This window comes from Homo sapiens, chromosome 5 (genome assembly GCF_000001405.40).
Source record: "Homo sapiens chromosome 5, GRCh38.p14 Primary Assembly".
Classification (NCBI taxonomy): domain Eukaryota; kingdom Metazoa; phylum Chordata; class Mammalia; order Primates; family Hominidae; genus Homo; species Homo sapiens.
In genome coordinates, this window is record NC_000005.10 from 127838394 (window position 1) to 127859738 (window position 21345).

The following is a 21345-nucleotide window of genomic DNA, read 5'->3' on the forward strand; positions in this document are numbered from 1 at the left end:
TAATACCTCTTCGTCTTCAGGGGACATTAATTTTCAAGATGCATTTTAATTATATTAGTAAACATGTATGTACTCAGGAAATAAAAGCCACAATTGACAGTGTTTATTTTCTGAAGGTGGAATAGGTACAGAATGTCTTTCTCAGGATAGGTGGATGGGTTGTCAAGAATGTGCAGTCTTCCCATGGTCTCTCTTAAAACTTCCTTTTCTTAGGTCCACTGAAACCTTTTTTAAAGACTGAGTTCTGCTACGATGGTTACTTGTACATTTCACCTCCTTGTTGCCAGTACTGAGAAGAGGTGAAAAAGAAAATGAGGCTCAGAAGATCAAGAGCGCTAAAAATGTACACATCAGATTGCCTAGACCCCAATTTCCATATTCACTCTTCCTGTGTATCCCACACTCTCTCCTCAACACTGTGAAAGCAGCATCCTGTGTGTAGTCTGTACTTCAGTGGTGTGACCAGAACTGGTAGGCAGCAAAGACTGTCGCTGGGGTGACTCAGCCTCAAACACACTGACAGCCTGGGCCTCTTCCCGTGAGATTACATCCCCTCCCAAGGAGGCTGAACAATGCCAAGTAGCAGCTCCACAGGAAGCTGTTATTCTCTTTAGGTAAATGGTTTTCACCTGAACCCTGGATTTTTCAGACACTTAAGACATACAGGTCTTCCTCCATATGGAAGGTATACACTCTTAATTCTCTTGATAAACTGAGAAAGGCCTGATAACTTAAAAATAAGTATAAACAGTTCTTGGAATGCTAAGGCAATAATAAGGCTACCTATTACAAGTGCTTAAGGTGAAAAACTGGAAACAAACTAAGTGTTAAATTACAGTACAACTCCACAAGAGGAAGTAGATGACCATTCAAAGTCATGTTATCACAGAACATATAATAGCAAGGGGAAATGGTCATCATTCAGTGTTAAGTGAAAAGAGAGGAATACATAACCACATCACTACAAATGTTATATGTATTAGTATGCTACAAATGTTATAAAGTATGTTTTAATGTACATAAGAAAACAAAAGCCAGGAAGAAAATATACCAAAATGTTAGCAATAGTAATCTTAGTAGAATTTCAGGTGATTTATAATTCTTTCTTAAATTTTCTATTTTTAAAGTTTTTATAATGAATACAGGTCAACTTTTAAATCACAAAATAAAAATAATCATTGGTTTTTAAAATAATAAATTTGAATATTTTTATAAAGATATAATTATGGAGAAAAGTGGCAAGTACCATTACACAACATTGCAGGGAAGTGGTCAAGGGACTGGGCTCTGGAATGACTGTACAGCCTCGTGACCTTAGGTTAACTTCTCTGAGCTGTGTATCCTTGCCGATTGAATAGGGATACTGTATTTCATCACACTAAGAGTCTATGGATTGTAAGATATATATATATATATGATCCTTTTATGTACAAATAAGAGTTTTTAAAAATACTGCCAATACTCCATCTTAAGGCAAATTCTTATTTCAGAGATTTGAAAAAAAATGCATCAGAGCCTCAAAGAACTATGGTAATATTTGCACCTACTTCATAAAGTTTCATGAGAATTAAATAAAACAATCTATGTAAAGTTCTCAGAAGAGCATATGACACTTAATAAACACTTAACAAATGTGAGCCATTATTGCAGACTCACTTAGGATGGCTAGCAAAGACCCTGAGGGTGAAGGTTGATGTTTCAATTTGAGAGGTCTGAGGGTGGCTGTCATGAAAACCTGAAGCCAGAGTCCCCTACCCTTGCTGGCTAGGAATGAGAGCCACAAGTAGAAAATACAGCCATTGTTTTAGAAAGCAACATTACATAGGATTCTTGGACTTGACATTCTTAAATAACTGGGTAAGAAGTTAAATGTATAAGGCTGAGAAAGAAAAAGAGGAAGTGAAGAAAGTTTGAGGTTGGCTTAAGTTTTATAATCGTCAAATTATCTCTGTATCCCTAATATTTATTGAGTAACCACAGGACACACAGAGCCCTGTAGTTGCATGGGTGGAGTAGAAATAAAGCTTCAAAGAAAAAAAGCACATTTGCAGTCTTTTTTCTTAGAACATTCCAAACAAGTAAACAAAATAAAGACATACATATAGGAAAACATGCAATGTATGTGCCTATAATGGTATACATAAATGTCAATAGAACAGAATAAAGACAAGTACAAAAATGAAGGTGTGGTAAAATTATTTTATTAAATTATTAATTAATTTATTAAATTGTTAAATTATTTCACATTTTTTTGAGCTGCAGTAAGACTCCAGGAAGTTAAGCACTTTTTGAAAAAGACCTATTACGACTAAATGTAAAATATTCATCATTATCTAGGTTTAAGAGCAAGACTAGTGAAAGAGAAAGAGTTACTAGAAGCAATAAAAAGCAATACGTTTCATCATATTGCTCACTTAAGGGTTAAATCTATCATGTTTTTAATTACTCACATATAAAGTTTCTACCAAATATTTACCATGTGGGTTTTTAAGTTTGATGAATGTAAAAGCACTGGCACAGGCTTCAGCTAGGAAGTGAAGTAAAAATGTTGACCAAGTGGGAGAAATCTGGCAAAACAAGTCAACCAGAACCCTGACCTTTGAGCCTTTTCAGGTTTTGTATAGAACAAATCTTGTATAGAAATAAGATGTGACCTGGAAATGGTCCCAAAAATTGAAATACTTTACAGTGCCAGGAACAACATCATGTCAAACAAAGAGGAAAAGGAACTGTTAGCAGAAAGACATTTCTTCAGTTTGTATGTGCCCTTAAGAGGCAAATTAGTATTAGGATGTGGAGCAACAGTATAGTGGAGTCCGAAATACACTTTTAGCTTATGGTGAATTTTGAGGCTCAAGAGAACAAAGCACATAATTTCGGAGTATATTATAACCTGGAAGAGCTGAGCCCTTCAGATTTGTCCTCTGAGTTCCCAAAGTGCATTACTTTCTCTCAGGGGAAAGATTCATCAATGTGCACCAGATGGGGTTGAAGGGAATGACTGATGTTCAACATTTTGTGTGGGTGTTGATTTGCAAACAAGGAGTGATTTTTTAAACTAGCATCTGTGTTTGCCAATTTTTTTTTAATCTTGGTTTTCATTTTAGAACACAATCTTTCAAGTTTTCATAAAATGGTAGATTTCTTTGAATACTAGAATGAAAGAGGCTTCATCTGTCTCCTAGTCTGCATTATTCCATGTAACCCCTCTGGAGCAAGAAAGGCATGTTGAGGTCCTGGAGTGGGGAGGCCCTGTGGTCCATGCTGAGCTGCTTCTTAACATATACTCACCCTTGACTACACTGTCTTAGAACAAACGGAGTTGTCCAACGTGTGTATGGGTGGCTCCCATGGTCATGAGCCATGACCCAAGCCTTGGGTCACCAGCCCAACGAGTGATCAGTAAGCATGCCTTGGTATGGGGGCAGTTTTAATGTTTGGACCAGAGGGAACAGCTCTTGTTTCTACAGGGGCCAGGCAGGTTGTGTAAATGAGTTCAGTGAAGCTGCAGTGAAAAATCCACTGAGCAAGTGCAATGATGAATGTTGACTATTGCTTGGCCTCAATGAGGACAGAAAAGGGAGTGACAGAGGCTGTGTTGACCCAGAGAAGACAGGCTCTGTTTTAAAGGGGGAGCCACCACTTAGCTCCCATTGCTTTTTGTAAGGAAAATGGGCGGAGGTGCCAGCTCCTCTGAATTTTCTAGCAGGGCTGGCTTCAAGGGCATGCATTCCCTGCAGTGCCCCAGGGCCAGCACTCAGAAGGACCCACACCTGGTTTGATGCTCTGCTATCCCCATCTTGAAATTCTTTTTTATTATTAGTATTTTTAATTTTTCTAGAGACAGGTCTCACTTTGCGGCTTAGCTTGGAGTACAGCAGTACTATCATAGCTCACTGCTAACTCAACTTCCTGTTTTCAAGGGATCCTCCTAGGAGCCTCAGCCTCGAAGTAGCTGGGATGACAGGTGTGAACCACCATGCCCAGCTAATATTTAAATTGTTTGTAAAGATGTGGTCTTGCCATCTTCCCCAGGCTGATCTTGACATCCTGGGCTCAAGCAATCCTCCCACCTTGGCCTTCCAAAGTGCTGGGATTACAGGCATGAGCTACTGTGCCCGGCCAAAATTCTTAATAATTTTTGAACAAAAGGTACCTGGACTTTTCATTTTGCACTGGATTTCAAAAGCGATGTAGCCAGTCCTACTTTCAAAAGCAGTTATACATGTGTAATTTTCTACAAAATATTCCAATTTTTAAATATTGGCAACTAATTGAAACTTTTGAAATGTAGTGAATGCTACACATCTGCAAGCTAACTGGTCTAGAGTTGGCCAACATGTTCACCCCTCTAGATTGCCTCAATGATTATACTAGAATCTTAGAACTCAGAGCTATGATGTCTTAGATGCAACCTGGCTAATCCCCTAATTCTCTGGATGAGGAAACAATCAAAAGAAATGAAAATGGAAATAGAGACTGTCACAACTTCCACTATACAGGGCCTGTTGGGAGCAGCCTTCCTGGACATACTGCCTATGGCGAAAAGTGCAAGGAATTGGAGTTTCATGGCATCTGTGATAGTGTACACTTTCTGCTTCATCACCTTAATTTCCTGGGCTGTATTTTAGTCAAGTTTTTTTTTTTTTTTTTTTTTTTGAGATGGAGTCTTGCTCAGTTGCCCAGGCTGGAGTGCAGTGGCACGATCTTGGCTCACTGCAAGCTCTGCCTCCTGGATTCTCACCATTCTTCTGCCTCAGCCTCCCGAGTAGCTGGGATTACAGGTGCCCGCCACCATGCCCGGCTAATTTTTTTTTTGTATTTTTAGTAGAGACGAGGTTTCACCATGTTACCCCGGATGGTCTCGATCTCCTGACCTCGTAATCCACCCGCCTCAGCCTCCCAAAGTGCTGGGATTACAGGCGTGAGCCATCGCAGCCAGCCAAAAGTTTTTTTTTTAATCTCTTAGTGACTTCAATTTTTTGCCAGGGATTTAAGCCGTTGTTGATTTTATTATCATTTACACAGTAATTATCCAAGAATAACTCTTTTTTTTTTTTTTGAGACGGAATCTTGCTCAGTCGCCCAGGCTGGAGTGCAGTGGTGTGATCTTGGCTTACTACAACCTCTACCTCCCGGGTTCAAGTGCTTCTCCTGCCTCAGCCTCCCGAGTAGCTGGTATTACAGGCATGCACTACCATGCCTGGCTAACTTTTGTATTTTTAGTAAAGACGGGATTTCCTCATATTGGCCGGGCTGGTCTCGAACTCCTGACCTCAGGTGATCCGCCTGCCTGGCCCTCCCAAAGTGCTAGAATTATAGGCATGAGCCACCTCGCCCAGCCCCAAGAATAACTCTTGACTTAGCCAGAGGCAAGAAATACATTACCAGATCCTACCCAAGGTCTGCAGGTTTTCATGTAGGCGATTTCTTTCTTTTCCCCTTCCTTCATGCCATCAGCTTTGATAACATTCTATGTGATGTAAGAAGGGAAAAAAGTAGCTTAAACAAATGTAAAACCATATTCTAGTTTAACTGTTTTAATCTTCTTTATATTAGCACATTAGAAAGGTGTGCATTCCTGGGTTATCAGACATTATATGGACCAGCTATTTTTATAGATTTTAATTTGTGTTGAACCCATCCCTATAAAAAACGTAAAATAAACAACATCATCCCTTTTCAAGAGTCTGCCAGTGTATATTTCTTTGCCTTTATGGCCCCATTTTTGTGTCTTTCTTCTTGCCCTGTTCCATGGCATCTCATAAGACAGGAAAAATCTTGCAAGCCATCAGTAATTGAATATGTGCTTTGACAGATCCTGCAGCAGGCAATGAATACATTTCTCATAGTGAAAATTTATACCTGAAGCTGTGCTAGCTTAATCATTTCATCCCTGTTTGCCTCAAAGTCTAATTTTCAAAGTAGATTAAACTTGTTAATGAGGCAACAGGATTTAGAGACAATTTAGTTGAAAGATATTGTGATGGGTAAGACAGGTGATTTCAGAAATGGATTTGACAAAGACTACAAAGCCAACCATCACAATAACAGAGCTGAGTAGAATAGAGCCCGAGTTCTAGACAGATTCAGGGTTTGGTTTAACTTAAGCAATTTTTCTTTGGTATGCTCACCCCTGCCTTGTGAGGGTGTCTGCTCCTGCCCAGGTCACTCTGAGCGACCCGGTGAATCTTTCTCATCCAGCACTAGGCTGGATTTCCCTCTAGCAGAGACAAAGGGTGAGGAGACAGGGCTGTGTGGCGGATGAGTGAGATATTTTGGGGACGCAGCAGGATGTGGATGGTGTGGCTGCTCTTTGTGCATTCACAGTGGCAGCCTGCCGAGCAGCCCAGCCAACAGTGCCCTGTCTTTGCTCTTTTGTTGTTTCGTACCATGTGGTGCCAGCAATATTCTGGCAGCTGACACCGTCAGCAGGTGTCCCTAAAATACCAAGAAACCCTGGGAAGACAGGAGGAGGAAATAATGTCTGAAGCCTCACAGGGCCTTGTGCCACCATTTCAGCGGAATTGACTTTTGTTATTTGTTTATTATTTTTTAAACCAAAGGGCGCCACCCTTCTCTTTGTGGTTCTTTGAAGATAGCAAGATTGCACTGCTAGTCTCTGTTCTTAAGAAGGGTCATGTGTGGAAGAACAAATAACCCTGAGATACTAAGAAGGAGCTGGATGGACTTGAAAAAGCAGCATTTGGAATAAAACTAGTAAATACCACCATCTAAGAAAAGCAAGAAAGATGCAGTTTTTATTTTAATAAATGGCTGTTATTAGCCAAGAAGCCATGTTCTTGCCTCCATGTCAGTCATGGAGACTGGAGCTGTCTGGAGGAGAGTCAGGGAGTGAGTTGGGATGCTGCTAGTAGGAATAGTGAGAGTGGGCCGCCCTTTCAAGACATGTGGCCACGAATGAGAGCACAGGGTGAGAGCTTGAGGGGCATGTGCACTAAGAAGGTGGTTCTTTTGTTGATTTGTTTGTATGAAAGGAAAGTCTTAAGCATATTTATAGCTGTGAATAGTACTGAGGAGAGAGTTGAAGTAATAGGACGAGGAAACCACATGGGACAGACTTGACCGAGCTCAGGGAGGTGGCATTTGAGATCATTTTGCAAGCCCCTTAGTGAACAAATAAGACAAGTGAGGCTCAGAGGAAAAACAAACAAACAAACACAGTTTACTGATTTATCTGAAAAATTTGTCATCAAGCAAATCATTTCAAGGTATTTGCTAGTTTCCCATGTGAATTTTGTCATAAATGAAGATTCTATTGCGAGCAAGACCTTGGGTTTAAATAGATGATAGACAGAAACAACAGAATGCAATTTTAAAAAAAAAGCTATAACTCTTACTTTAGCATGAAAAAATTATGCTGAGTCAAGAGGGACATGTATGTGCTATACATATTAATGGTCCCTCACTGTACCCAAGGAGTAAGATATCATTCCTGTGTATCATAAATTTGTCCTGAAATTAATATTCTAACTACTTTCAGTAGAATGTAACCTTTATAAAAGCCAGCACTTTGTCTTTCCTGCAATGGTCTCCCTTGAATCTAGAATAGGGCCTAGATAAGTAGCATTCAATAATAAAAGAATATTTGTTTGGCCGGGCTTGGTGGCTCACTCCTGTAATCCCAGCACTTTGGCAGGCTGAGGCAGGTGGATCATGAGGTCAGGAGTTCGAGACCAGCCTGGCCAACATGGTGAAACCCCATCTCTATTAAAAATACAAAAATTAGCCAGTGGTGGTGGTGCGTGCCTGTAGTCCCAGCTACTCGGGAGGCTAAGGCAGAAGAATTCCTTGAACCCGGGAGGCGGAGGTTGCAGTGAGCCAAGATCGTGCCACTGCACTCCAGCCTGGGCGACAGAGCAAGACTCGGTCTCAAAAAAAAAAAAAAAAAATTGTTAAATGAATGAATACATGAAACAAGGCTGAATCTTCTCCTTGACCTCTTACAGGCATCTAAATGTTAAAACTGGACTTATTTTGCACCCGTTTTCACCCCACACACCCCTTACGCCCACAAAAGCATATTATCTTTCTTTGTAGTGCCTATTTTATTTTGTTTTTATTTTTATTTTGAGAAGGAGTTTCACTCTTGTCACCTAGGCTGGCATGCAATGGCAGGATTTCGGCTCACCACAACCTCCACCTCCCAGGTTCAAGCGATTCTCATGCCTCAGCCTCCCGAGCAGCTGGGATTACAGGCGCTCACCACCACGCCCGGTTAATTTTTGTATTTCTAGTAGAAACAGGGTTTCATCATGTTGGCCAGGCTAGTCTCGAACTCCTGGCCTCAAGTGATCCACCCACCTCAGCCTCCAAAACTGCTGGGATTACTGGCGTGAGCCACCGCGCTTGGCCATAGTGCCTATTTTAATTAAAGATGTTTCCATTCACCTAGTCAATAAAGCAAAAAAAAAAAAAAAAAAAAAAAAAACAGGGAAACATCAGTGATTCCTCCCTTGTCCCCATTTCTAGAACTAATGGGTTCCCACATTCTGTCAATTCTACCTTGGAAAAAGGTCGATTAATATTTTCCCTGCTCAGCATTTCCACAGTCCCCCTCTTGTGCAGGCCTTCATCATCTCTCAACTGGTCCCGTGTTTATTTTCATCATCAAACCAGTGTTATTTCCAAATGTCCATCCAATGGTTAAAAGTATGACTCATGATTTTCTACAGAACAAATTTCCATGGTGCTACCTTTAAGAGTTTGCACAATCTAATCTCTTGCTATGCTTTGTGTTTCATTACTTTCCCCCATGCACTTTTGCCCATTCAAGGTGGACCCATACTTTCACAGTCTCATGCCATTTCTCATGCTGTTTCCTCTGTTTAGAATATCCTTGCCTCCTAGCCATCTGATAAAATCAAAATTATTTTTCACATTTTTCCTCCATTATTAACTCATCTTCCAAGAAGCTTCTTCCCTTGAAATTCACATAGTGAATAGTCCGTTATATTTTTGCTGCTGACAGTATTTCTTTTAAAGACCAATCTACTTTCAAAAGATATAGAACTTTATGACAGAAGGTGAAAACAGCCAATTTAATGTTTAAACCCAGTATGTCCATATTTAATGGACATAAAATATAAACAGATAAGATGTTTGACTTCCCTCATAACTAAAGTAAGTCAAAATAGCTATATGTCATTTTGTACGTTTCTGATTGGCAAAATATAAAAGTTTTATTTAAAAAACAGGACTGGTTCAAGATCAGCCTGACCAACATGGTGAAACTCCGTCTCTACTAAAAATACAAAAATTACCAGGCGTGGTGGCAGGCACCTGTAATCCCAGCTACTCAGAAGGCTGAGGCAGGAGAATCCACTTGAACCTGGAAGGTGGAGGTTGCGGTGAGCCAAGTTTGCACCACTGCACTCCAGCCTGGGCAACAGAGTGAGACTCCATCTTAAATAAATAAATAAATAAATAAATAAATAAATACATAAATAAATGCTCACTGCAACCTCCACCTCCTGGATTCAAGCGATTCTACTGCCTCAGCTTCCCGAACAGTTGGGATTACTGGTGCCCACCACCACACCCAGCTAATTTTTGTATTTTCAGTAGAGACAGGATTTCACCATGTTGGCCAGCCTGGTCTTCAAACTCCTGACCTCAAGTGATTCGCCTGCCTCAGCCTCCCAAAGTGCTGGGATTACAGTGATTTTTTTTTTAATCTCTATGTTTGGTGACCAAACTCCTGAGTGGCTACAGTTTTCTTATCATTACTGCTCCTAAGCATGGTCCTGGTTCTCTCTTATGGTTGCAGTCTGTGAAGCATTTCTGTGTCCTCCTGGAGTCAGTGCCATAGTAAACCCTTCACGTGGTCACACAGGCTCAGTCTTTTTATTCAGAGGGTCATAAAACAACTTCACAACAAATGGAACACAGAGGGATTTAGCCATTGCCCAACTTGAGAGTGAACTTGGAACTTCCTCCTTCCCTGGGCCTGTTTGCATTTCTGTACTTTTATTTTCTTGGTCTGAGTTTACCTGATATCCATTGGCTATCCAATTCCTGACCTTACTTCTAGCCTTCATATTTTCTTCCTGGAGAGCCTGGGTAACTTTCCTTATTGAAGCCAGTCCAACAATAGCAATTAAAAGCTCAGGCCGGATAACTCTTCAGGGATTCAAAACCCATCTCTGCCACTTACTAGATGTGACTTCTCACCTAAACTCTGCCACTCACCTTGGCCTATCTTCTGTGCCTTAGTTTCCTCTACTGCAAAATAAAAAGGCTAATAAGAGTCTCTACCACATAAAATTCTTATCGTGTTCTTATGAGTTAATATATGTAAAGTGCTTAGAATAGTATCTGGCATGCAGAAAGTACTGAATAAGAATTAGCTATCATTATTACTTCAGAGACACTTAGGTCGTTCTGGGGAGAAAAGGCAGTATCCATTATTTAAATTTGAAAAGACACTAGTTATGTAAATTTTACATTGAAGATAAACTATATAAAAGGAGCAGTTTGCCACCTACTCAGAAAGAAAGGCTTCTGTGTAAACTTTAGAAATCCTGTCTATATAGCCAGGTGTGGTGGCTCGTACCTGTAATCCCAGCATTTTGGGAGGCTGAGGCGGGCAGATCACTTGAAGTCAAGAGTTTGAGGCCAGCCTGGCCAATGTAGTGAAACCCCATCTCTACTAAAAATACAAAAATTAGCAGGGCGTGGTGACAGGTGCCTATAATCTCAGCTACTCGGGAGGCTGAGGTGGGAGAATCAATTGAACCCAAGAGGCAGAGGTTGCAGTGAGCTGAGGTCGCATGCCACTGCACTCCAGCCTAGGCGAAAGAGTGAGACTCTGTCTCAAAAATAAATAAATAAATAAAAGGACATTGAATTTACTTGAAATTAGTAAGCCTAGACTGCCTTATTCTCCCCAGTTCTACAGCCAGGATTCCCACCTCCTCAGCACTCTCAGCTTAGCAGCCCACAAGCCACAGGGGATAGAGGCTGACTTCAACTGGCCACTCTGATCTAGGATGATCTCCAGAGGTCTGTCCAGCTTGGCTCACCTCTGTTCAAGAGAATGTCTGCAAGATAGCCTCAGGAATTCCAGAATATAGAAAGAGTTGGCTCTCCTGGGACAAAAGAGTGATTTCGTCGGCCCTGAGAGAACCTTCCTCCACTGCCTACAAGTACCTAAATACCATCATTAGAGATTCATATTTTTGGCCTTAGGCTCCTAAAGCCTGTAAAAGGAAATGAAATGTTGCCAAATGAGTAATTTATACTTGACTTAGGTTAGAGATTTGTAAGGCTCATAAAGAGGTGGAGAGAGATACAAGACCAAGGAAGCAGAAACAAATCTTCAACTTCTCAGTAATACCTTTTCCTAAAGCCAGTCCTGTTTCCTAAACTAAATCAAGACTTACAGCTCAGGATCCAGCCTGAGAAAATTTTTTTGTGAAGAAGAATCTCTCAGGATAGGACTCAGAAAATCCAAATAAGACCTTTCAAGTCTTTAGTGAAAACAAGATCAATTGCATTTATTATACCTACCAGACTTCTGTACTTACTCAGATCCACACTTGGAGAATTACAACAACAAAAGAAATAAAAGAGGGTTTATCTGCTTTTTCTGATAACATCTGCTAACTGACTGTAAAGCAATAGTAGTTTATGCCTTTAAGGCTGGTTGTAAAATAAAGGCCGTAGGGATTATAGAGCTTGGGATCAGTGCTGCCGCCTGAATCTGTCGCTTCTTTGCATGTGGTTTCATGATCACACTTAATCCCCTTATCTCTGGCAGGTGTAGAGCCACCAGGAACATCGCATATATTTGGACAAGGGCACCCAGCTCAGGGGCAAGTGGGGACTAAAATTCAGCTACATTCTGCTGGTCTAACTGAGCTCCTTGACTCAGGAAAGGATCCCCCCAGAGAAAGAGTAATTTTTAAAAATTCTCTTAAAGGTACTCCCAGGGCTAATGCACTAGAATGCATCTATCTCAATGGGCATCTTTTGCTGATTCTCACAAAGGTACTCCATGGTGTGCAGTAGGCATCTTGGTGGATATTTTAGCTTCCCAGAATTTGGAACCCCTTACCTATAACAAGGAAATTCTCCATTCTATAGGTCTTCAAGGAAAGCAGAGCCCACCGTATAAGCAGGCCAACGTCCCTTGCAGCCTGGATGAAAGAATATGATCAGTCAGATGTACATTCCCTGCACTGAGAGTTGAGAGTTTGAGATGCACAGGAAAGGGCAGGGAGAATTCCTTGGGGCACTAGCAAATTTCGGTTTCCAAAGCAGCAGAGGGCCAGGTGCGGTGGCTCAAGCCTGTAATCCCAGCAATTTGGGAGGCCGAGGCAGGCAAATCACCTGAGTTTAGGAGTTCAAGACCAGCTTGGCCAACATGGTGAAACCCTATATCTACTAAAAATACAAAAATTAGCCAGGCATGGTGGCAGGCGCCGGTAATCCCAGCCACTCCGGAGGCTGAGGCAGAAGAATCGCTTGAACCCGTGAGGTGGAGGTTGCGGTGAGCTGAGGCCACACCACTGCACTCCAGCCTGGGCGACAGAGAGAGACTCCATCTTGAAAAACAACAACAACAACAAACAAACAAAGCATCAGAAGCAGAGGTTGCAGAAGCAACAAGAAGCACCTGTCCCTGGTGCCACCATGGAGGCTTTGCAATCTGGGCCACCTGAGACTAGTTCTGCTGCAGGATTGGGTGCTTGTCCTGGCTTCTGCAAATCTCCCTTGTCTTTGGCCTGTTTTCTGATCTCATTCTCCAAATTTCTCAGCAGTAAATTATTTTTATTAAATTGGTGTCTATGATTTACAACTAAGAACCCTGAGCAGGGATTAGGAAATTATTCTAAAATGTTATCAGACAGGCCAATTCAGCTTCCTACCACCATGCAAACCTGTGTACCTACTTCTTCGAGACCAACATTCACCTAGCTTTTGGTCAAGTCCTCTCCCACTATCTCAGGAATCTTGGAATATCAACTATTTATGATATTTAATATCAACTATTCATATATCAACTATCCATGTCTTTCTTGTTTTTTTGGTTATTGCTGTTGTTGTTTTGTTTTTTTGAGATGGAGTCTCGCTCTGTCACCCAAGCTGGAGTGCAGTGGCATGATCTCAGCTCACTGCAACCTCCACCTCCCAGGTTCAAGCGATTCTTCTGCCTCAGCTTCCTGAGTAGGTGGAATTACAGGTGCACGCCACCACACCTGGCTAATTTTTGCATTTTTAGTAGAGACAGGATTTCACCATGTTGGTCAGGCTGGTCTCGAACTCCTGACCTCGTGATCTGCCCGCCTCGGCCTCCCAAAGTGCTGGGATTACAGGCGTGAACCACTGTGCCTGGCCTCTTTCTTGTATTTTTAAATTTCCCTTTTAACTAGATTCTTCCTGTCAACACTTGAACATGGTTACATCCCTCCCAGTTAAGAAAAATGACTTACATTGAGCCCACACATCTGTCTAGCTATTGCTCTGTCTCAGAGTTTACCAACTGGTTTGCCAGAATACTGTGTGTTCCAAGAATGGGTTGTAGGTGTTCTGTGATATATTGAGGGTTGTAAATATTTATGGTAATGAAAAATTAAACCAGTTTTATAACCATTCAAAATTTAACAGTTAAAATTAAATGTGAACACTAGTTTTATGGTCCCCTCTCTGCTGAAGTCAATAATTCTTATTTTGTGCTCAAAATGTTTTCCACGATACCAACCCCAGAGAGCAAACACTACTGCCTATCACACGTGCCTCCTCTCCTTGACTTCCCCTTCAATTATTCTCGTCAGTCTGGCTTAGTCACAGTTCATCCTGTTGAAGGTATATGTAAAATAGTGCTTGATTTTGCATTTAATTGAATTTACTCACATTTTCACAATTATTTTCTTTACGCATAAAGCATATGTTTGATTATTACCTTGTTTTTACATGATAGACAGGAGAAAAGGTGGGTGTAGCCCTTAAGGGGAGTACCTGTTCAGCCTGTGGAAGAGAGGCCTCTGCAGTGTTTTCTCACATGGGGGAAGTATTGGCTGTTATGTGAAACACACAGTCACATTTACACACTCTGAGGGGTCAGGATAGCCTTCAGAGCCACAAACTTCTGTGGCATTCACCCAGATATCTCCATCTCACGTTTCGGGGTCCCAGGTTGTCCCAACCAGAGCCTCGGCTGAGCCCTCTGTTGTCTTTGAAGCTTAGCAACCCTGACTATAAAACTCTGAGTTTGCTCCTCACTGCAGCTATTCTCCCATAACAGGAGGGAGAGACACTTTGTAAGCTACTAAAGATGCCTGGTGGTCCTCACACTTAGTTCTTAACTGTTTGGCAACTATCATCAGTTACCCATTATTCTCTTTAGGCTTCATCACAGCAAGCCAGTTCATTGTTTTCAAATGCTGCTATCCCTGGCCGGGTGCGGTGGCTCACACCTGTAATCCCAGCACTCTGGGAGGCCGAGGCGGGCAGATGGTCAGGAGATAGAGACCATCCTGGCTAACACAGTGAAACCCCGTCTCTACTGAAAAATACAAAAAATTAGCCGGGTGTGGTGGCGGGTGCCTGTAGTCCCAGCTACTCAGGAGGCTGAGGCAGGAGAAAGGTGTGAACCCAGGAGGCGGAGCTTGCAGTGAGCTGAGATCGTGCCACTGCACTCCAGCCTGGGCAACAGAGCAAGACTGTCTCAGAAAAAAAAAATTCTGCTATCCCCATGCTGAAAGAGTCTGAATCTTTGCACCAACCCAGATGTTTACTGTCCACCAGAATATTCTACCAAGTTAACACCAGTGGAAGTTTCAGCAACTGGACTACCACCTCATTCCAGGGACTATCTATGCCCCATATGCTACCCAGAATGGGATCCTCAGTATCCCTTAGAAACATTATTTTCCATATGTATAATAATTCAAAAATGTTAAAATTCTTCCCTTTCTCAAACACATACCCCTTTCTGAACCAAGCACTCTTAACAAGTTGTCTATGCTTCCTGACTACATTTGCTAAATTCAGCCACCTTTTTTTAATTTCACAATTTTTATAGATAATACATTCCTAGTGTACAACATTCAAAGCATCAAAAGCACCTGGAGGCTGGGCGTGGTGGCTCATGCCTGTAATCCCAAAACTTTGGGAGGTTGATTCGGGCAGATCACCTGAAGTCAGGAGTTTGATATCAGCCTGGCCAACGTGGTGAAACACTGTCTCTACTAAAAATACAAGAATTATCCGGGCGTGGTGATGGGCACCTGTAATCCCAGCTACTCTGGAGGTTGAGGCAGAAGAATTGCTTGAACTTGGGAGGCAGAGGTTGCAGTGAGCCTAGATCACACCACTGCACTTCAGCCTGGGTAACAGAGTGAAACTCCGTCTCAAAAAGCAAACAAACAAACAAACAAAAAACAAACAAAAAAAACATCTGGAGTGAGAATTCTCCCTCTCAACCCTTCCCTCAGCCCCATAGTCCTTCTTAGAGATAACCATTGTTTCCAGGTGTTGTGTACTTCCAAAGATGTCTGCTTATGTGTTTATGCACCACTCGCTTTTCACCCCACCCTTTCAATGACTCTATTCCCAGCTCCCCAAAGGCACCATGGCACCTTCATCATGAAACCATTTAAATCTTTATTGCATTTGACCACTCAGCAGCCTGCAGCACTGTTGATCACACCCTTCTAGAAACACTATTCCTTTGGGTTCCAGGTCATAACACTCTCTTGATTCCTTCCTCCAAACCCCCATCCTTCCATTCATTCTCTGTCTTAGCAGGCTCATCTTTCTTGATCCTTCATTAAATCCTTGAGTTCCTCATAGCTCAATCCTACACATTTTTTCTCTTTTCACTCTCTGGTGTTTCCAGAGACAATCTCTTCAATTAAATGCCTTCATTTACCCTTATCTGCAGATGACTTCCTGATTTGTACAGTAGTACCCCCTTATTTACGGTTGCGCCTTCTGCAGTTTCGGTTACCCACAGTAGAGTACAATAAGATAATTTTGAGAGAGTCCACAGTCACATAATTTTTATTACAATATATTGTTATAATTTCTCTATTTTATTATTAATAGTTAATCTCTCACTGTGCCTAATTTATAAGTAAAACTCTATCATAGGTGTGTATGTATAGTATAGGAAAAATCATACTAAAATATCTATAGCGTTCAGTTTCAGGCATCCACTGGGGGTTTTGGAAAGTATCCCCTGCAAATAAGGGGTGACTCCTGCATATCTAACCTAGACCTCCTTGACTGAGCACCACACTCATATAGCCAAATTCCAAGTCACATACACGCATACCTCAGAGATACTGCAGGTTTGATTCCATACCACCACAGTAAAGTAAATAATGCAATAAAGTGAGTCACAGTAATTTTTTTGGTTTCCCAGTGCATATAAAAGTTACTTTTACACTATTCTATCATTTATTAAGTGTACAAAAGCTTTATGGCTTTATGACTATTACACACTTAATAAACTATAGAATAGTGTAAACATAACTTTTATAACAATGTAAACATAACTTTTCAGCCTAACTTTTATAACAACCTTTATAACTTTTATAACAAAAACAATGTATATACCTTAATTTAAAAATAATTTGTTGCTAAAAAATGTTAACAATTATCCGAGCCTTCAGCAAGTGGTAATCTTTTTGCTGGTGGAGGGCCTTGCCTCAGTGTTGATGGCTGCTGATTGGTCAGGGTGGTGGTGGTGGTGGATGTTTGCTGCACTGATTGACTCTTGCTTTCGTGAAAGATTCTGTAGTATGCCACACTATTTAATAGCATGTTTCCCATAGCAGAACTTCTTTCAAAACTGGAGTCAATCCTCTCAAACCCTGCCACTGCTATATCATCTAAGTTTATGTAATATTCTAAATTCTACTTTGTCATTTCCACAATGTTCACAAAATCTTTCTCATCCACAAGGAGCAACTCATTCATTCAAGTTTTATCATGAGATTGCAGGAATTCAGTCACATCTTCAATCTCCATTTCTAATTCTACTTATCTTACTACTTGCACCACATCTGCAGTTACTTCCTCTGTTGGAGTCTTGAACCCATCAAAGTCATCCTTGAGGGTTGGAATCAATTTCTTCCAAACTCCTGCTAATGTTGATATTTTGACCTTCTCCCATGAATCACGAGTGTTCTTAATTAGTCTAGAATGGTCAAGCCTTTCCAGAAGGCCTTCAATTGACTTTGCCCAATCTATCAGAAGAATCACCATCTATGGAAGCTATAGTCTGACAAAATGTATTTCTTAAATATTAAGACTTGAAAGTCAAAATTATTTCTTGATCCATGTACTGAAGAATGGATGTTATGTGAGTAGGCATGAGAACAACATTAATCTTGTGCATCTCTATCAGAGCTCTTGGGTGACTAGGTGCATTCTCAATAAGCAGTAATATTCTGAAAGGGATCTTTCTTTCTGAGCAGTGGGTCTCAACAGTATTCCTAAAATATCAAGTAAAGCATGCTGTAAACAGATGAACCAGACTTTGTCGTTCCATTTATAGAGCACAGGCAGAGTAGATTTAGCATAATTCTTAAGGACCCTAGGATTTTTGGAATGATAAATGAGAAAGTTATCAGCTGCAGTTAGCCCTTCACAAGAGAGTGAGCCTGCCCCTTGAAGCTTTGAAGCCAGGCATTGATTTCTCCTTTCTAGGTATGAAAGTCCTAGATGGCATCTTCTTCCAGTTGAAGGCTGTGTTGTCACCATTGAAAATCTGTTGTTTAGTGTAGCCACTTTAATCAATGATCTTAGCTAGATCTTCTGGATAACTTCCTACAGCTTCTACCTCAGCAATTGCTGCTTCACCTTACACTTTCATGTTATGGAGACAGCTTCATTCCTTAAACCTCGTGTATTAATCTTTACTAGCTTCCAACTTTTCCTCTGCAGCTTTCTTACTCTCTCAGCCTTCCTAGAATTGAAGAACATTAGGACCTTGCTTTGGATTAGACTTTGGCTTAAGGAAATGTTGTGGCTGGTTTGGTCTTCTATCTAGACTACTCACATTTTCTCCATATCAGCAACAGGGTTGGTTTGCTTTTTTATTCATGTGTTCACTGGAGTAGCACTTTCAGTTTCCTTCAAGGACATTTCCTTTGCACTCACAACTTAGGTAACTCTATGGTGCAACAGGCCTAGCTTTCAGCTTATCTTGGCTTTCAACATGCCTTCCTCACTAAGCTTAATCATTTCTGGCTTTTGATTTAAAGCAAGAGACTTGCAACTCTTCATTTTACTTGAACACTTAGAGCCATTGTAGGGTTATTGATTGACCTAATTTCAGTATTCTTGTGTCTCAGGGAATAGGGAAATCCAAAGAGATGGAGAGATATGGGAAAACAGAGATGGTTGGTTGGAGCATCAGAACATACACACTATTACCACCAATTATGTTTGGTGTCTTATATGGGTACAGTTTGTGGTGCCCCAAAACAATAACAATAGTAATATCAAAGATCACTGATCACAGATCACCCTAACAGATATAGTAATGATGAAAAGTCTGAAATATTACAAGAGTTACCAAGATGTGACAAAGTTAGCACGTGCTGCTGGAAGGGGCACTGATAGACTTGCTTGACATCAGATTGCCACACACTTTCAATTTGTGAAAAATGTGTTGTCTGAGAAGAGCAATAAAGTAAAGCATAATAAAACAAAATATGCCTGCATTCTCATGGAAATCTCAAAAGCCTCTCAAATAATTCAACATTCTTCAAATAGAGCTACATCTCCATGATACCAACAATAACACCCCACCTCACATGAACACTTTTACCCACCTTACATCAGTGATCCTTACATAGGGTTACTCAACTCAGTGTGTACCATTATAGTCCTTCCAGTTGTAAGCTGAGAACTGGGACTCATCCTGAATACCTCCCTCAACTTTCCCACCCTTATCCAAACCAGCACCAAACCCTGTTAATGTTAACTCTCTAGATCCATCCTCTTCTGTCAGCTTCTGCCATCATTACTCTGGTCTCATCATAACATGACTAAGCTATTGAATTAATATTTCCTACCTGGTGTTCCTGGATTCATTCTGTCCTACTTAAATTTATTGTCTACATTGAAACCAGAGCGTATTAGGGTTCTCCAGAGAGAAACACAACCAATAGGATATACATACGTACATATTTTATATATATGAGAGAGAGAGAAAGATTTATGTTAAAAAATTGGCTCACATGACTGTAGGGGCTGGCAAGTTTGAAAGCTGTAGGGCTGGCTGGTAAAGTGGGAATGCAGGCAAATTAGTTGATGTAGTTTTCAGTTCTAAATCTGCAGGATGGGCCAGCAGGCTGGAAACTCAGGCAGGGTTTCTTAGGTTGCTTTATTGAGGCATGATTGCTTCTTCTTCAGAAATCTTCAGTCTTTGCTTCTAAGGCCTTCAAAGAATTGCATGGAGCCCATCCACATTATTAAGGGTAACGTGTTGTATATAAAGTCAACGGATTATAAATGTTAATCATACCCACAAATACCCTCACAGCACATCTATGCTAGTGTTTGACCAAACAACTGGGCACTATAGCCTGGCCAATTTGACACATAAAGTTAACCGTCATGCAGGGTGACAGCTCTAAGTCTCCATTTGCTTATATGTATAATGGGAATAGCAATAATATCTATTTCACAAGGCTGTTGTTCGTGTAAATGAGTTAATATATACGAAACACCTAGAACAATACTTAGCCCACAGCATGCACTAAATGTTAACCACTACAAATATTAATATTATAAATCCGATCCTATTGACCACCTGCATAAATCATTACAATCACCTCCCATTGCTTTTAACCTCACACACCAGGCTTCTGTCTGTCTTTGCAGACTCCCACTCTCTCTGCCCGAGGCCCTCTGGATTTCATCCAGGCCCTGGTGCTCACCATTTCTCTTTCCATTGCAAGACCTTTACACACAGTGTTTCCTCTGCCTTAATGCTCTTTTCTCCCTGCATTACCTAATTAATGCCTCTTATCCGTAAGATTCCCTTCAACTGTGAAAATCTTTCCTAACTTCCTTAATGAGGTCACTTTTCTTATCATAAGCTCTCAGAATGCCATGTGTCATTCCCTCATAATACTTGTCACAGTTGGCAACTGACTGCATCTGTGTGATTATTTTAAGTCTGTTTCCATAACTAGACTCTAAATACCATAAAGCCAGAGACTATGATTGTCTTGCTTATCCCAGTATTCCCTGGGTTGCTAAGTTTGTCTGCGATAAACAAATAATGGCTTCATACATCGCTGCATGAGGCATTTACCCAGTCATAGCACCAACTTACAAAGAACAAAGAGAAGCAAGGCCCAGTCACTGTGTGAACTCATATGACCATTGCACAGCTAGAAAAATGGAAGAAAGGGACAAAATCAAGTACACAATTTGCAGCTGTATTCAGAAAAAAGGAGCCAGCTAATATTTCATAAGGCAAGAAAAACAGTACAATAAAGTCACATTAAATCATCATCAAGGGGCTCAAATTATTTGACACTTTTGTGTGCTTATAAAAAAAAACACTGTCACATAAAAATTGTGTTGAGTATAGATGTACTAAATTAAAAAATGAATCATGAAGCTCTACCTGGAACATTTGTCTGTTCACAAACACTGCCAATGTCCTCATGGAGCTTATATTCTTGTGACTACTAATGTTCCCAACTGCCTTTTTCCTTACTGTGAAGAAAGATCTATCCCTTTGAGGAGAAATCCATTAGTTATTTTGTGCCTGAGATGTTTATGTAGACAAACTCTAAATTGTAGAATAAGCTATGATTTATAGCTTACCTTTAATTCTTTTCTTAAATATTAACAAACATGTTTTGTCAGTATTTATTAAATAATAAAACATGTTTGTTAATATTTAACTCAACTTTCTGAGAGGGTCTTCTCCAGTCTAATGTCTCTATGGTCAGACACAGGAATCTGTATTTTAATTAGTTCCCCTTCTGATTCTTATGTGTCCTTATGTTGGAGAACTACTTCTAGGATTCTGGAATCTGGCTGTGCAACAGAATCACCTAGGAAGTTTCTCCCAAATACAGATAACTTAAGTTCCACCTCAGCTCTGGTGAATCAATCTCTAGGAACAGGACCCAGGATGTTCATTTTAAAGGTTTTTTTTTGTTTTTAAACCAGAACTCAGTGTAATTTTTAAATCTGGGGAACTGTGCCTTCCTTCATTTCCAAAAATTTGCCCACCATTTTTACTTCAAAAATAGCTGCTCTCCCATTCTCTCTTCTTTTTCTCTGGAAAGCACATTAGATTTTATCGAAGATTCCCTTCTCTACTCCATGTCTCTTAAATGT

At 40.7% G+C, this 21345-nt stretch overlaps 1 protein-coding gene across 12 annotated transcripts in view; it reads left to right on the forward strand.

Annotated features, from left to right (window-relative positions):
* CCDC192 (coiled-coil domain containing 192) overlaps positions 1-21345 on the forward strand; it is a 239292-nt gene that overhangs the window by 136178 nt on the left and 81769 nt on the right. Inside the window, exon 6 of one of the 12 annotated variants that reach the window (XM_017009813.3) lies at positions 214-1198. The exons of the other annotated variants lie outside the window; for them this stretch is intronic. Within the exon in view, the coding sequence (XP_016865302.2) occupies positions 214-222 (9 nt within the window). The 3' untranslated portion in view covers positions 223-1198. Of the gene's footprint in view, positions 1-213; positions 1199-21345 lie in introns of those variants that run through there. 12 annotated transcript variants of the gene reach the window in all.